This window comes from Homo sapiens, chromosome 1 (assembly GCF_000001405.40).
Source record: "Homo sapiens chromosome 1, GRCh38.p14 Primary Assembly".
Taxonomy (NCBI): Eukaryota; Metazoa; Chordata; class Mammalia; order Primates; family Hominidae; genus Homo; species Homo sapiens.
This window is the reverse complement of record NC_000001.11, coordinates 223,650,028-223,665,701: the sequence shown is the minus strand read 5'-3', so window position 1 is coordinate 223,665,701 and position 15,674 is coordinate 223,650,028. Positions and strand designations below refer to the sequence as shown.

The 15,674-nt window shown below is 45.7% G+C and overlaps 1 protein-coding gene across 3 annotated transcripts in view; it reads left to right on the top strand.

The window, feature by feature from the left end:
• Positions 1-15,674, top strand: part of CAPN8 (calpain 8) — a 124,086-nt gene continuing 108,412 nt past the window's right edge. For all 3 annotated transcript variants that reach the window (NM_001143962.2, XM_017001267.3, XM_017001268.2), the window contains exons 1-2: positions 1-292; positions 11,303-11,372. In NM_001143962.2, coding sequence (NP_001137434.1) covers positions 56-292; positions 11,303-11,372 — 307 coding nt within the window. In that variant the 5' untranslated portion in view covers positions 1-55. The remainder of the gene's footprint in view (positions 293-11,302; positions 11,373-15,674) is intronic.

The following is a 15,674-nucleotide window of genomic DNA, read 5'->3' as shown; positions in this document are numbered from 1 at the left end:
GTCTGAGAGTACAGTGCAGCCCTGCCCTTCTGTCCACCCTACAGAGCCCACGGCCATGGCAGCCCAGGCAGCTGGTGTATCTAGGCAGCGGGCAGCCACTCAAGGTCTTGGCTCCAACCAAAACGCTTTGAAGTACTTGGGCCAGGATTTCAAGACCCTGAGGCAACAGTGCTTGGACTCAGGGGTCCTATTTAAGGACCCTGAGTTCCCAGCATGTCCATCAGCTTTGGGCTACAAGGATCTTGGACCAGGCTCTCCGCAAACTCAAGGCATCATCTGGAAGCGGCCCACGGTAAGGAAGCGGGCTTGCTGTTGAGTGACATACAAGGTGGAGGGGCCTTACATCTGATCAGGAGGAACTGAGGGAGAAGTTGAGGCTGTGGACCCTAAGTGTCTGGATCTCATATTTCAGATCCCTCCACCACCACCTTTTTTAATTTTATTTTTTTGAGATGGAGTCTTGCTCTGTCACCCAGGCTGGAGTGCAATGGCATGATCTCAGCTCACTGCAACCTCTACCTCCTGGGTTTGAGTGATTCTCCTGCCTCAGCCTCCCGAGTAGCTGGGATTACAGGCATGTGCCACCATGTCTGGCTAATTTTGTATTTTTAGTAGAGATGGGGTTTCTCCATGTTGGTCAGGCTGGTCTCAAACTCCCAACCTCAGGTGATCCATCTGCCTCAGCCTTCCAAAGTGCTGGGATAGCAGGCATGAGCCACTGCATCTGGCCCCCCCATCACCTTTTGAACTCTTATTTTTTTTGAGGCAGAGTCTCACTCTGTCACCCAGACTGGAGTGCAGTGGTGCGATCACAGTGCACTGCAACCTCAACCTTCCTGGGCTCAGGTGATTTTCCTACCTTAACCTCCCAAGTAGCTGGGATTATAGGCACGTGCCACCACACCCAGCTAATGTTTACATATTTTTGTAGAGACAGGGTTGTGCTGTGTTGCCCAGGGTGGTCTTGGACTCCTGGGCTTAAGCCATCTGCCCACCTCAGCCTCCCAAAGTGTTAGGATTACAGATGTGAGCCACTACACCCAGCCTGAACTCTTGTTCAGAGATGGTGAGGTATAGAGAGAAGAGCATGGATGAGCTTTGGAACTAGGTAAGATAGATTTGAATCCTAGCTCTGCCTGTGTTGTTTTGGGCCGGTAAACTCTGTGAACCTTAGTTTTCTCATCTGTAAAATGGCATTTACTGGCACCTTATTTTTCAGGGTTGGTATGAGAATTAGAGATAAATCTCAGAGCATAGTGCCCAGAACATAATAGATGCAGAATACGTAGTTGTTATTACTGCATATGGTCCCTGGGCCAGTGCACAATGGAACAACTCAGTGCTGGATGCAATCAGCTGGCAGGTAAATTGTGACAACATCATTGCTGAAAGGTGCACGGTTGCGCAAGGTCATGAATTGACATTATTCCATCAGGGCTGGTGAGTGGAGAGGTGGGAGCTGGGGCTCTGTGGATGCAGACGGAAGGCAGAGGCTCCTGGATGCGGTTACTGATACTACCCAAAGCTCAAGGGCAAGGGATGGAGAACAGTCCTCCCAAAACCTAGACCCATGACCTATCACTATGTGACCCTTGTCAAGTGATTCCTCAGGGATGAGAACCTCTCCCATACAGAGTGGTTGTGAGAATTGAGCTCATCCATACAAAGTGCTCTGTTCAACAGAGCTCATAACAACGTCTCAGGAGAGGGGCTATGAAATGACCTGGGCACCTTTTGTCTTCTAAACCATGATAGGGAAATTAAGTCAGGGTTCCTATTTTCTTGGCAGTGGTTGAAACAGGAAGACAAAGGGAGAGTACTTCTTCTAAAATGGTCAAAATCACTATTTAACTCCAGCTAGCTACCTCTACCCTTTTTACTTTGATCCTGCTGATTTTGCCTAACAGTTTTCATCTCTGAGAATAACTCCTTGGCCATGCTGCCCTCCCGCCCACCGTGGTTCATCTTCCCATTCCCCTCTGAAACCTATAGGGTTACCCTGGTATGTTGATAAAATCCAGATTGGGAGTAATGGTTTTTATTCTAATTTCAAGACAGCCACATTTCATTTCAACAGACAGTTTTTTTGAGCTTCCATTTTGTGCCAGGCATGGGCTCTGCACTGATTGGAAAGGTGGTCAGGGAGAAGCTGAGGAAGGAGCTGTGGTCTCAGCTCTGATGGAAAGTGTGGGGAGACACAGGTGTGAATAAAGGACAGATGCCCAAGGCAGAATGAAGTAAGAACTCTACAGAGGCATAAATGATGGGCCATGGGAACCTGGGTTGTCACAACTGGGTGGTGAAAAGCCTTAGGGAGGGGTACCATTGCAGATCCCAAGGGTCTTGGGGGAGAGGAAGGAGGGGGAGAAAATTTTCCTTTAGAGACCAAAGTCAGGTATCAGTTAACCTTTGCTTAGTTTTTCTCCTTTCTTTGAAATCCTTAGAGACTTTACCTCCTTAACCACATAGCCTGTTCTTCCCCAAACTATGTCTTCACCTGTCCTCGTGGTCTGTGGAAATGCGGTAATTGTAGACTGGATGTGCTGATTTGTGGCTGTCAAAGGAGGAAGTAAAATTCAGAGCATGAGGCAGTAGAACCTGAGTAATGCGGAAGGTGCAATTGAAGGACTCCTATTTGGAGTTTTCAAGTGCGTGTTGAGTAAATAAATGCGTGTCAAAATTTAACCTCTCCTTCCCTAATCATCAGTGAAAAATTATCACACAGCTGCTTTTGGGCAGGCTCATGCTCACATACCACAAGGGTACATTAGAGAAGGCAGACTTATCCTCTAAGATCTTACAGTTATTGAATAGACTCCTGAATCAGTAAAGATTCTGATCCTATCTCTATGAGGAACATGCATTGAATGCTGAGAAAATTAGCCTGATCCTAAATGCTTCATTATTATTTTTTCCTCCCAAGAGGCCTTTCAAGGGTTTGCAAAGAGATCAGGGTATCCAGAAATGTGGTGCATTGTAAGTTCATTTGTTGCATTTACTCATTTATTTTTAAATTGTGGTATGATACACATAACATAAAATTTGCCATCTTAACCCCTTCTAAATGCACAGTTCAGTGGCATTAAGTACATTCCCATTGCTATGCAACCATCACCACCCTCCATCACCAGAATTGTTTTTATCTTGCAAAACAGAAACTAAATACACATTTAAAAACTCCCCATTCATTCTTCCCCGAATTTCGTTTCCTTTCTTTTCTTTTTTCTTTTTCTTTCTTTCTTTTTTTTTGTTTGAGATAGAGTCTTTCTCTGTTGCCCAGGCTGGAGTGCAGTGGCGCGATCTTGGCTCCCTGCAACCTCTGCCTCCCCAGTTCAAGCGATTCTCCTGCCTCAGCCTCCTGAGTAGCTGGGATTACAGGCACCTGCCACCAAGCCTGGCTAATTTTTTGTACTTTTAGTAGAGATCGGGTGTTGCCATGTTGGCCAGGATGGTCTGGAACTCCTGACCTCAAGTGATTCAATCACCTCGGCCTCCCAAAGTGCTGGGATTACAGGTGTGAGCCACTGCGCCTGGCCCTTCTCCCCAGTTTCTGACAACTGTTCTCCTTTCTGTCTCTTTGAATTTGATTATGTTGGGTACCTCATATAAGTGGAATTATACAGTATTTGTCCTTTTGTGACTGGCATAACTCACTTAGCATAATATCCTCAAGATTCATCCATGTTGTGGCATATGTCAAAATTTCCTTCCTTTCAAAGGTTGAATAGTATTCTGTGGTGTCTATAGACCACATTTTGTTTATTCATTTGTCCATTGTTGGTCTTGGGTTGCTTCCACTTTTGGTTATTGTGAATCATGCTGCTACAAACATGGGCATACAAACTTCTCTTTGAGACCCTGCTTCCAGTTCTTTTTGTTATATACCCAAAAGATATGACCCATGGCTGGATCATATGGCAGTTCTACGTTCAAGTTTTTGAGGAACCACAGTGCTGTTTTATATAGTGGTTGCACCATTTTGCATTCCCACCAGCAGTGCACAGGGTTCCTATTTCTCCACATCCTTGCCAATGTTTGTTATTTTCTTTCATTTTTTTTCTTTTTTGAGATGGAGTTTCACTCTTGTCTTGTCACCCAGGCCGGAGTACAATGGTGCGAATTCGGCTCACTGTAACCTCTGCCCCTCGGGTTCAAGTGATTCTCCTGCTTCAGACTCCCGAGTAGCTGGGATTACAGGCACTCGTAACAATGCCCAACAAATTTTTATATTTTTAGTAGAGACAGGGTTTTGCCATGTTGGCCAGGCTGGTCTTGAACTCCTGACCTCAGTTGATCTGCCCACCTTGGCCTCCCAAAGTGCTAGGATTACAGGTGTGAGCCACTGCACTCAGCCATTTTCTGTTTTTTGATAGTAGCCATTCTAATGGGTGTGAGGTGACATTTCATTGTGGTTTTGATTTGCATTTCCCCAAAGATCAGTGATGGTGAGCATCTTTTCATGTGCTTATTGACCATTTGTAGATCATCTTTGGAGAAACATATATCCAAGTTCTTTGCCTTTTTTTTTTTTTTTTTAAGACAGGGTCTCACTCTGTTGCCTAGGCTGGACTGCAGTGGTTCAATCTTGGCTCACTGCAACCTCTGCCTCCTAGAATCAAGTGATTCTCGTGTCCCAGCCTCCCAAGTAACTGTGACCACAGGCTCCTGCCACCAATTGGCTAATTTTTTGTGTTTTTAGTACAGATTGGGTTTTGCCATGTTGGCGAGGCTGGTCTCAAACTCCTGGTCTCAAGTGACCCACCTGCCTCGGCCTCCCAAAATGTTGGGATTACAGGTGTGAGCTATTGTGCCCAGCCCCTTTGCCCATTTTTAATTGTGTCGTTTGCTTTTTTATTTCACTGCTGCTTTTGAGGGTGATTTTGTACTTCTTCAGTGTTGGGGGCTTTAAGTCCACTGCCTAAATGTGACTCATATGATCCTGGTTCCCACACAGACGTTAATTTCTACCGCCCTTTGGGGGAAAGCAGATGAGATGGGTTGAACATGTATGTACACATGTTTTTGTCCTCTCAATAATAAAATAAAGATTGATACTTAGATATTTTCTGAAATCACATCATTTGACATCCTGCCCCTGCTGGGCGTTTCTGCCTATTCATAAGCAATTGAGCAAAGATTTGCTTGAGCTCTTGTCCCAAGGGTTTCAGGACAAGTTTGCCCAGAGGAAGGGCTCAAGGTCAAGCATAGGTTCTCAGGATGAACTTTTGGTTATTCACAATCCTGAGACAATTTAGGGTTGGGCAAGAACAATCCTACCACAAACAGCATGGTTGGCTATGTGAGATCGGGGGTGTTCTTAGCAGGTAGATTTTTGCCTCCTTATTTTCTGGCTTCCCCTCTGTGCTTGGTTAATGCCCAGCCCAGGTCCTGTGGTTTGAGGAATGCCCAGCATGAGCAGGCCCTGGTGCAGTGCAGTCAATGATATTCTTCCCTGAAGTGTCCACTTTTTGGCAATTAAGTGGTTTATTGATCTTAAGGAGAAATACAGCAAGACAGCAATGAAGTGATGTCAGCTGCATAATAAGGACCTAGTTTAAGAGAAATGTCAAGGGGATGAATTGTTGGGAGGTTAGGATAAGGATGAGGGTGACAGGCCTCAGCTTGGAGCTTCCACTCTTTCTTCAGCTGCTACATCTGGAGTGAATCTGGAGTTTTCAGTTTAGCCATGATTTATTGCGTGCTGGTTGTGTTCAGGTGCTGGAGAGGAGTCTTTGTGGAGCTTTGGCTCATCAGGGAGAGACATACGGACAAGTGGACAGCTGGCAGGCCACAGAGTGGTTAAGAGCATGAGCTCGTGCGTCAGGTAGATCAGGTTTCTGGTCCCCTCTGGCCATTTGCTAGCTGAGGAACCATGACTAATGACCCCAAGACTCAGTTTCCTCTTCCATAAAATGGAGATAACAATATTACCCACTTCACTGTTTTTTGGAGGCTTTGGTTATTGGGATGCTTGAATAAGGAAATCTAGCTGTTATTACAAGACAGAATATCCAGAGAGTGAAATAAATAGAAATATGAACACAATGTATGGGAGTTCAGGGGAAGAAGCAGTTAAATTTGACAGTGACATTGGGGCAGGTTAATTACCGGAGACGTTTGAGTTGGGATTGTTGGTGGAAGAGAATCGGGATAGAGACTGAAGAGAAGGCGCAGGTGTGGGCAGAGGTACTGGGTTGTGGCAGTGCATCGGGAGCAAGTGTATTCAGAGGAAGGTGGGAGTCCACTGTGATGGGAAGAGAGTGATAATCACTCACTGTGGGAAACTGACAGACAAAGCTGGAAACATCCAGTGGGGCCAGATCACAGAGGGATGGAGGTGCTGGGTCAAGCAATGTGGCTATACTTGAAGATGATGATGGTGAAGATGGCAGCATCTCTGGGGGTTCTAAAAACCAGAGCTCCTAAAGTGCAAACCAAAGCTATCAGACATGGTTAACGCTCTAGGAGAGCAGTGTGGCCAAACAGCCATCATCACTGAGACAGTGTGGGTTTCAGTCACTTTCTGCCTTGGATTCTTGACTGATACCTGTATTTCCTTAGGCCTGGTCATCAGAGGCTGATCCTAGGTTAGAGTAATTTGTATTTATGGAGTGTTTTGAGATCCTCGCTTGAGTAATAGAAAACAGTGTTACTAAAAAGACATGATTGTTATTAGGAAAGATAAAAAAGGGTTCTAAGTGTGGGTAGGTGGCAGGCTGCCTCTTCACAGAATCCTGCCTCTTTAAAACCTCTCTGACTCCCAATTACTTTGTATCTCTGATCTGTGCTTCAACAGGAACTTAGTAATGGAGAGATTTGGGGTAAGTTCTTTGGGCATCGTAGTGAGATGGAATCTCCTTGCAAAGCTGGGGATTTTCTTTTTCTTTTTCTTTTTTGAGACAGAATTTCACTCCATCACCCAGGCTGGAGTGCGGTGGCGCGATCTTGGCTCACTGCAACCTCCGCCTCCTGGTTTCAAACAATTCTTATGCCTCAGCCTCCTGGGTAGCTGGGATTACAGGTGCACACCACCATGCCTGGCTAGTTTTTGCATTTTTATTTGTAGAGATGGGATTTCACCACGTTGGCTGGGCTGGTCTCAAACTCCTGACCTCAAGTGATCAGCCCACCTTGGCTTCCCAAAGTGCTGGGATTACAGACGTAAGCCACCATGCCCAGCCCAAAGCTGGGGACTTTCTGTGGTCCCTGAAAGATTCATGCAACATATCAGTCATGACATTCCTTGGTGTGTGTGTATGTGTTTTTCTGGGGTGGGGGCATTTTTTGAATTATACTGAGTACCACGTAGTAAAATGGACATTCCATCTACCTACAAACCACTTAGCACCATTCTGTATATTTCACTTGTAATTGTCTGTAGCCTTTGCCAATGACTCTGTCTTCCAACCCAAACTCAACATTTTAGCAGAACTTGGGAGGCCTATTAGATATGAATCTAATGAAAAATGAGCAATGTGACACAGGTAATTGAAGATACAGCTCAGGGAGTTATTTTGGAAGCATCAGCATATTCTGCAGTTAATAGTTGAAGCCATGAGGTCGAATGATGTCACTGAGAGAAGAATGCTTAGGGGTGTTACTGCTGTATGAAATGGGATAATCTCAGAGGGTTGAGGACCAAGAGCCAGGGGTTCCTTGATACTTAGGGGTAAGCACAGTAGAAGAATGCATGAAGGAGACTGAGGAGAAATGCTCAGAGAGGCAAGGAGAAAATCAAGCATGAGTAAGGGTATGGAAGTCAATTTCAGAGAGGGAATAGCCAACGGTACCAAATGCAAAGAGAAGTTAGTTATTATTGATGACATGGGTGAGAGGAGTTTTATGAAGCTATGGATGTAGAAGTCAGATTTCAGTAGACCGATGGATGAATGGCGGATGAAGAACAGGAATCTATTCATCTATTTATTTATTTTTTGAGACAGAGTCTCACTCTGTTGCCCAGGCTAAAGTGCAGTGGCGCAATCTTGGCTCACTGCAACCTCTGCTCCCGGGTTCAAGTGATTCTCTTGCTTCAGCCTCCTGAGTAGCTGGGACTACAGGCACTCACCACCACGCCTGGCTAATTTTTGTATTTTTAGTAGAGACAGGGTTTTGCCCTGTTGGTCAGGTTGGTCTTGAACTCCTGACCTCAAGTGATCCACACACTTTGGCCTCTCAAAGTGCTGGGATTACAGGTGTGAGTCACCATGCCCAGCCAAGAACCTATTTTAAGAGAGTTTTTAAGAAAAGAGATTCTTCCAAACCCCTATTGAGTGTGCTGTCTTTTCTTTCCTCTTGACGACACAACATTTTCCTTCTTTTTTTAAAAACAACATTTAAATTAAAATTTTTTTCTCTTTCTTTTTACTTATTACTCTATCAGATCTCTCTGCCTTTTATTTGCCAAAAAATGACTGCTTGGAGACTGGGAGCTCTTGGGCACCCGGGGTGAACATTTGCAGCTGCACACTTTTAGAACACCCAGATTGGCTGGTGCCACTTTTCTCTTTAAGTTGCCGCCAGAGATTGCAAAAGACTGAAAGCGAATGAATAAACAAAAAACTAAAGGTCCATCACTAGAGAACCTTTATTTACAAATAAATAAATGGCAAGAAAATAAACGAGCTAAATAACTTATGGTACTTTTAATGAAGTTACAAAGCTCTCTATGTCCTAAGACATACGTACAAGACATATGTGATAAAAATGTGTGTATGTGGCTGGGCGCGGTGGCTCATGCCTGTAATCCCAGCACTTTGGGAGGCCGAGGCGGGCGGATCACGAGGTCAGGAGATGGAGACCATCCTGGTTAACAAGGCGAAACCCCATCTCTACTAAAAAATACAAAAAATTAGCTGGGCGTGGTGGTGGGCGCCTGTAGTCCCAGCTACTCAGGAGGCTGAGGCAGGAGAAGGGCGTGAACCCGGGAGGCGGAGCTTGCAGTGAGCCGAGATCGCGCCACTGCATTCTGGCTTGGGCCAAAGAGCGAGACCCCGTCTCAAAAAAAAAAAAAAAAAAAACAAAACAAAAAAACCCAAAACGTGTGTATGTACATAAATATGCTTTCATATCAGAAGACAGCTTCTGGAGGGACACTTAAGAAATGCTACCAGTGCGGACTCTGAGGCGGAAGGGATTTTGTGTTTTACACCATTATTTACTGTTGGGTTTTTTTTCTCATGTTCATGTATTAGTTTTTCAATGAAAAACAGGTAAATAAATTTTTGTTGTTGTTGTTTTTGAGATGGAGTTTCGCTCTTGTTGCCCAAGCTGGAGTGCAATGGCGTGATCTTGGCTTACTGCAACCTCCGCCTCCTGGGTTCTCCTGCCTCAGCCTCCTGAGTAGCTGGGATTACGGGGGCGCACCACCATGCCGGGCTAATTTTTGTATTTTTAGTAGAGAGGGAGTTTCACCATGTTAGCTAGGATGGTTTCAAACTCCTGACCTCAGGTGATCCGCCCACCTCAGCCTCCCAAAGTGCTGGGATTACAGGCGTGAGCCACCGCACCCAGCAAAATTTTTTTTAATACTTGGGAAAAAAAAAAAGTCAGCCCAGAGGAGCTGTTTCTGCCATTTCAGCAGGAGCCAGCACCTTATAGAGGCTATGGGGCTGCCACCTGGAAGGTTCCACCTCACACAGCAGAATCCCAGAATCCCCACTGCCAGCTTCATCCAGACCCCATGCATCTGCCCTCAGCCCACCCTCCTGCTTCCTGGTCCTTTCTGATCTGCCCTTTCTTCACCTCTATGAAGTAAGAATGAAATGATTCTCTCTCTCTGTGGCCAGACAGTCTTTGATGTAGTGCAGCCCAGGATGCCACCGATTAAATGTAGGCTGACTTCCGTTTTGTCCCTCGAGGTCCTGCCCTTTTCCCCTAGCAGTTTGCCTGGTGAACAGGTAGACCCATCTCTTCTTTAGGAACCAGTACGTAGACTGCTCCTGCATCCTACCTTTCTAATGGACAGGCATCATCTCCCACCCACTAAGTCTTGCAGCCATCATCCCTGTTGGGCCCTTCTCATTTTTCTCTCTTTGTGTTTTTTCTCCCTTTGTGGATATAGCCTACATTCTATTATTATGCACTAGCCTTTTTTCTCTGACTTTTTTCATAATGTCAATCTTGGTTTGCTATATACAGCAAAAGCACCTTGAGGCCAAGAACTACGTGGTTTATTTCTTTTCTTTCTTCATTTCACCATGTTTCCCTCTTTCCCCTGCCTGCCATGGTTCAAAGGGTACTGGATACAGAACGGGCACTCAAAAAATCCTTGCTGGGTAAACAAAGAAAGCATGACTAAAGCATGTGTCATTGTGCCCCAACAGAGCACCAGGGCCATGAGATTGCTGTAGGCAGATGCCAGTTGAGATAGGTGAGTGGAGGAAGTGCAGGTCAGATATGTGAATGTATCAGAGATGAATTCTCATCTCAGGATACATGGTACTTCTGACACTTCAGTGTGTCCATCAGCACATGGGGTCATTATCATTTAGTCAAGACTTTAACGAGTGCCCACAGGGTGCACAGCATTTTGCTAAATATTCTTCTAATCTCTTTATGTAAATAGGGGTGTTGTCTGAATAGGTGAGATCATTTTTCATCACATATTATCTCAGCCTTTGCCTTTCTCCTACCTCCCTGCTCCTCACCACCTTTCCACACCCACACACCCACACACCCACACCACACATATAGTATTAAAACACTAGTCCTGTCCAGGTGCTGTGGCTCATGCCTGTAATCCCAGCACTTTGGGAGGCCAAGGCAGATGGATCACTTGAGGTCAGTTCAACATCAGCCTGGCCAACATGGTGAAACCCCATCCCTACTAAAAATACAAAAAAAAAAAAAAAAAAAAATTAGCCGGGTGTGGTGGCACGTGCCTGTAATCCCAGCTATGTGGTAGGCTGAGGCAGGAGAATCACTTGAATCCGGGAGGCGGAGGTTGCAGTGAGCCGAGATCATGCCACTGCACTCCAGGCTGGGCAACAAAGCGAGACGCTGTCTCAAAAACTTAAAATAAAATAAAATAAATAAAAAATAAATAAAAAATGAAAACACTAGTCCTGGCAGGGGCTCTGGACTCCAGCTTCTGCTCTGTTCACCCCTGGCTGTGTGACTGTGACCAGGGCTCATCCCCTCTCTGGGCTTCAGAGTCCTCAGCAATAAAACCATGTGATGGGCAGTAGACAATCCTGGGTTTCTTCCAGCTCTGCAACCTGGGACTCTGATGTTCCTTTCCCCAGGCTGCTGCCATCACTGAGCACCTTGTGACTTGTGTTTTGTTCCAAATTACTTTCAGGAGTTGTGTCCCAGCCCTCAGTTTATCGTTGGTGGAGCCACGCGCACAGACATTTGTCAGGGTGGTCTAGGTGAGTAACTGGGGAGAGTCTTATTTGTTTTGGGAGAGGGCGGGTGTGTATGTGTCATGAGTAAACATCAGATGAAGCTGTGAGACTTCACCGAGTGAATTAGGTACCTGATGTGTCCGTCTGGGTTTGTGTTTCTGAGACTGCATTCTTCACTGTGAGTCCAAATGCTGGAACTTCACTGTAGGTCCAAATGCTGGAACTACCTCTTGGCTCCCCCTAATGAGAGATTTTGCCAGTTCATTTAACCACTTTAATGCTAGAGCAAGGAGCCAGGATTACAGGCGTAGAGTAGATATCTGTGCTATACTGTGTTTTTGTTGTAGTTACCTTTAAGTAGACATAATTTGTCCTTTGGAATGGCCATATCTAAGTAATTATGGGCTGTCATAATAAGTGCTTTTATAATTAGTAAGAAAACAGGAATCTTATTTTTGTAGCCAGACATTCTTTCATAGGCCTGGGATCCTGTAATCAAAAACCTTCATTTCTGAACTTATCATATTCCTTTTAAATTAGGGGCAGTTGAGTTTTTAAGAAATAATTTCATTTAGTTTTGTAAGTTCTAGCCTCCATTGTCAGAAACTGAGGCTCTCCTTGGTGGCAGATGAGCTTTATTGATTTCATAAGCCCTCCCGATACCAAGGCTTCACAGATGGGAGTTTCTGCGTTGAATTGGACAATCCTTACATTTTATGGGCAACATGGCTCTGAATTGAATTTGAGGGGCTTCCAAACCACCATCCAGTGACAGCTGCAAAATACAGAACCGGAAGTGAAGGTGAAAAAGAAACAAATCCTGCTTACTGAAAATCAGCAAAACAAACAGAAACCTCAGCATCACATGGACCCCATCACCACCCCCCGCCACTTTTTTTTCAGGAGGTTTTCTCTTTTTCTCATTCTTTCTTATTGCAGCCAAGAAAGCCCTTTCTCTTCAGCCTGCTGGAAATGTTCATGATTTTGAAAATCACAAGGCATTTTATTTTAAACGCTTCCAATGTTCTCTCCTTTAATGAATATAGCAAATGTACCTTAGAAAGAGCTCACAGAGCGTGACGATCAAGCAGCGGGAACGATTCGGGGTGCCGCACCCAAGCGCGTGCCCCGTTGCCTGAAAACCACAGCCTCCATTTCCCGAGCTTTTGTGTGAGGGCTCACAGAGGGGTAGCGTTCTGACCTTTTCTTGTTCTGGGTAAGTGTGGTGCCTTTTTACTTCCAGCTCCATGTTTAACCTAATTATGCATGTGTCTCAGGGACACACAACTTCGAAGGCGCCTCAGACAGCTCCTTGTTGGAGATGTTTTAACTTTGGGAAAGGTATTTAATAAGTACCTTTTCCTTGACGGGCTTGGATGGATTTTTCTTTGAATAGTTTTAAGCAAGGAGAAGTGAGGGTTTCCAAAAAGCGGCCTGAGCGTTACCATGGTGAGTGCGTGCTGCCAATGGAGAAGGAGGCTGGAAGCACAGGAAATGAACCCAACCAGCTCTCCGAATCCAGCTCACATCAGAACAAACGCAGCAGCCTCTGTGGTGGCTGCCCCGGGGAGCCCAGCCGCTGCAGTGGTGGTTTTTAATGAACAGAGCGGAAAGGGGCTGGGGAGTCCAATCTCCTGAAAGGAGCCAGGTGCAGACTGAGCCTTTGCCAGTAGAAGAGGAGATTCACAGCGCCAAGGCTATAACCCAGAGCGTCAGGGTGGGGAGCCAGGGGCTGAGTTGCAACAGCCTCTGTGGCCTGAGGGATCTGAGTCAGGGCTGGTCCTGAACAGTGGGTGAATTGTGAGAGATTAAGAGGAGAGATTCCCCACTCGACATACCGTGTGTAGTCCCAAAGAACAAGGGAGCAGCACACAGCACTTGTTGAATTGGGGCCTGATATGGATTAATGTTTGTTAAATGTTCTGTTGGTTTTTCAGAGTACAACACAGATTGTCATCTGTGTCATCTGCTCTAAGGGTTTCTAAAAAAGATGTTTATATATATATATATTTGAGACAGGGCCTGGCTCTGTCTCCCAGGCTGGAGTGCAGTGGCCCGATATCGGCTCACTGCAACCTCCTTCTCCTGGGCTCAAGTGATCCTCCCACCTCAACCTCCTGAGCAGCTGAGACAGCAGGCATGCACCACCACACCCAGCTAATTTTTTTGTAGTTTTTTGTAGAGACAGGGTTTTGCCATGTCGTCCAGGCTGGGATTTTTTTAAAACAGTTGATTTGTATAATGAAAATGATGTCTTTTTCATAGAGTTCTGTGTGATTATTTCATCATTATTTTGAATACACACAGTATAAAAATTAAAGCAACTGAAAGGCACCCGGTGAAGTCTGTTTCCCACTGTCTCCAGTTGACGCCACTGACTCCGTTGCTCACTGCCTTGCAGCCATGCGAAAAATTCCCTCCGTGTTTCTTTGTGCAAATTCAAGCAAATCTAAGTACATATTCTGAATATCCCTTCTTGTATTGAAGGCAGCACACTATCAACACTGTTTGGCACCTTGCCATTATTTGGTGTCATTTCACTTAATAAAGTATTTGGGGGATCTTTCCATAACAGTCTATAAAGAACTTCGTTCTCTGTGAACCATTCCAAGTGTTACACTCTGTCGGATTTATCCTGCCTCCAAAGGATGGACATTTGAGTTATTTTCTCTTGCACTCTTATAAAACACATGGCAGTGGATCTCCTTGTTCGCACTTCATATTGGGTGTGTTAGGCTATTTGCCAGCACGTCCAAAGTCTGGCTGCTTCTGTCAGGGTGGGCTGTGTGTTGTCCCTTCCTCCCTACTGTCCTTGCTAAGCCAGATTTTCATCCTAAATGTATGAGTCTCTTGGCTACCATCAGAGCTTATGCTTACTTAGAGCCCAGGAGCTGGCTTTTCTTGAAGACATATTTTAGGAAAATAAAGATTGAGGAAGCTGAATGCCAAGGATCCAATTGTTTCAAGTAATTTTTCCTGTAGAATATGACTTTTCTTTGGGCAGCTCAGTCCCTGAAGGAGGACAGTATGATTTTACCTCCATTTAAGTAATTAAATGAGTAAATCCTTTGTTGAAACAGCCCTCAAACGAAAGCCCTCCCACAACGCTCAGGCCTCCTGGCACACTGAGAAAGAGAGTTCTTCAAAGTTGCTGTTCCTGGCAATCCCAGCCTTTCCTTGCTCCGTCTTCTCAGTGGAGCCTGTTCTCACCAGGCCTAGCAAGGGCCACCCACACTCAGTGTCCTACTGGAGTGGAAGGAGTCTCAGGGTCGCCCCATGTGGTGATGGAATAAGTTATAATGTGCAGTCCCCTGTGGGTCATGTCTGTGTGTGCTTTTTCCAGTGGACTCTCAAGGGTGCACATCACTCAGGAAACTTCAGCGACCCAGCCAGTCCCTCCACTGCTCGTTCCAGCACAGTCTCTCTCCCTTGCATTTTGGCCTATGCACGTCTCAGAGCATCTTGAGGTCTCTGTGGCCACTGAAATAGACTTTGTCCAATGAATATAGCATCCATTTCTGGCTTTGTGCACCCCCTTATAGTAAGTCATACCCATATATCAACCAGAACTCCTTTGGTCACTGGCTTTCAAAGTCCAACCCAACTATTAATAGCTTAAGGAAAAGGATTATTTATTGGCTCATCCAACTAGATCATGGAAGGGGAACGGCATTGTTGGCTTTGGAGCCTGGTTCCAGGGATCTAAATGTTCCTGGCACACTCTCTGCCCATCTCTCTTCTCTGTTGGTATCTACAGGTTGGCTTCATTCTCTTCCATGGCAGACAGGATCCATCTGGCAGGAAACAGGACGACTAATGATTCCAGACTTTCCCTCAGTATAATTGTAAACCAGCTTTGGTTTTACAGATCTCAGAAAAGGACTGTGATGTTATGGTTTGGGTCTTCTCCCACTCCTTGAGCCAGTTACTGCAGCCACAGCCGTGGGCCCAGCCTGGGTCAGGGCCCCACTCTAGCTGCTGGGAGCCTCTTGTGACTGGGAACCTCCTCTAAAACCACAGGGAGAACTATCCAAAAGAAGGGGGCATGGCCATGGCTCTGGGCAGAAAGAATAAGGCAGGTACACCCCAACATGTAAATGGAGGGGGATCCCAGGTCTGGCCCAGCCTGCACTCTCCCTCTCCAAGGCCACCTCTGCCCTCTGAGCCCCATGACCCTGGCATCTTTCCCCCTCTCCTAAATCTATCACTCTGCAATGCTCCTGGAAATGCCTTTGCCAAGGGCCCCTCCTCTCTCTCTCTTGATCTACCACTAGCAGTGCCTAATTCAGCATGCACGGGTAGTCTTCTTGGTGCACCTCTGGCCTC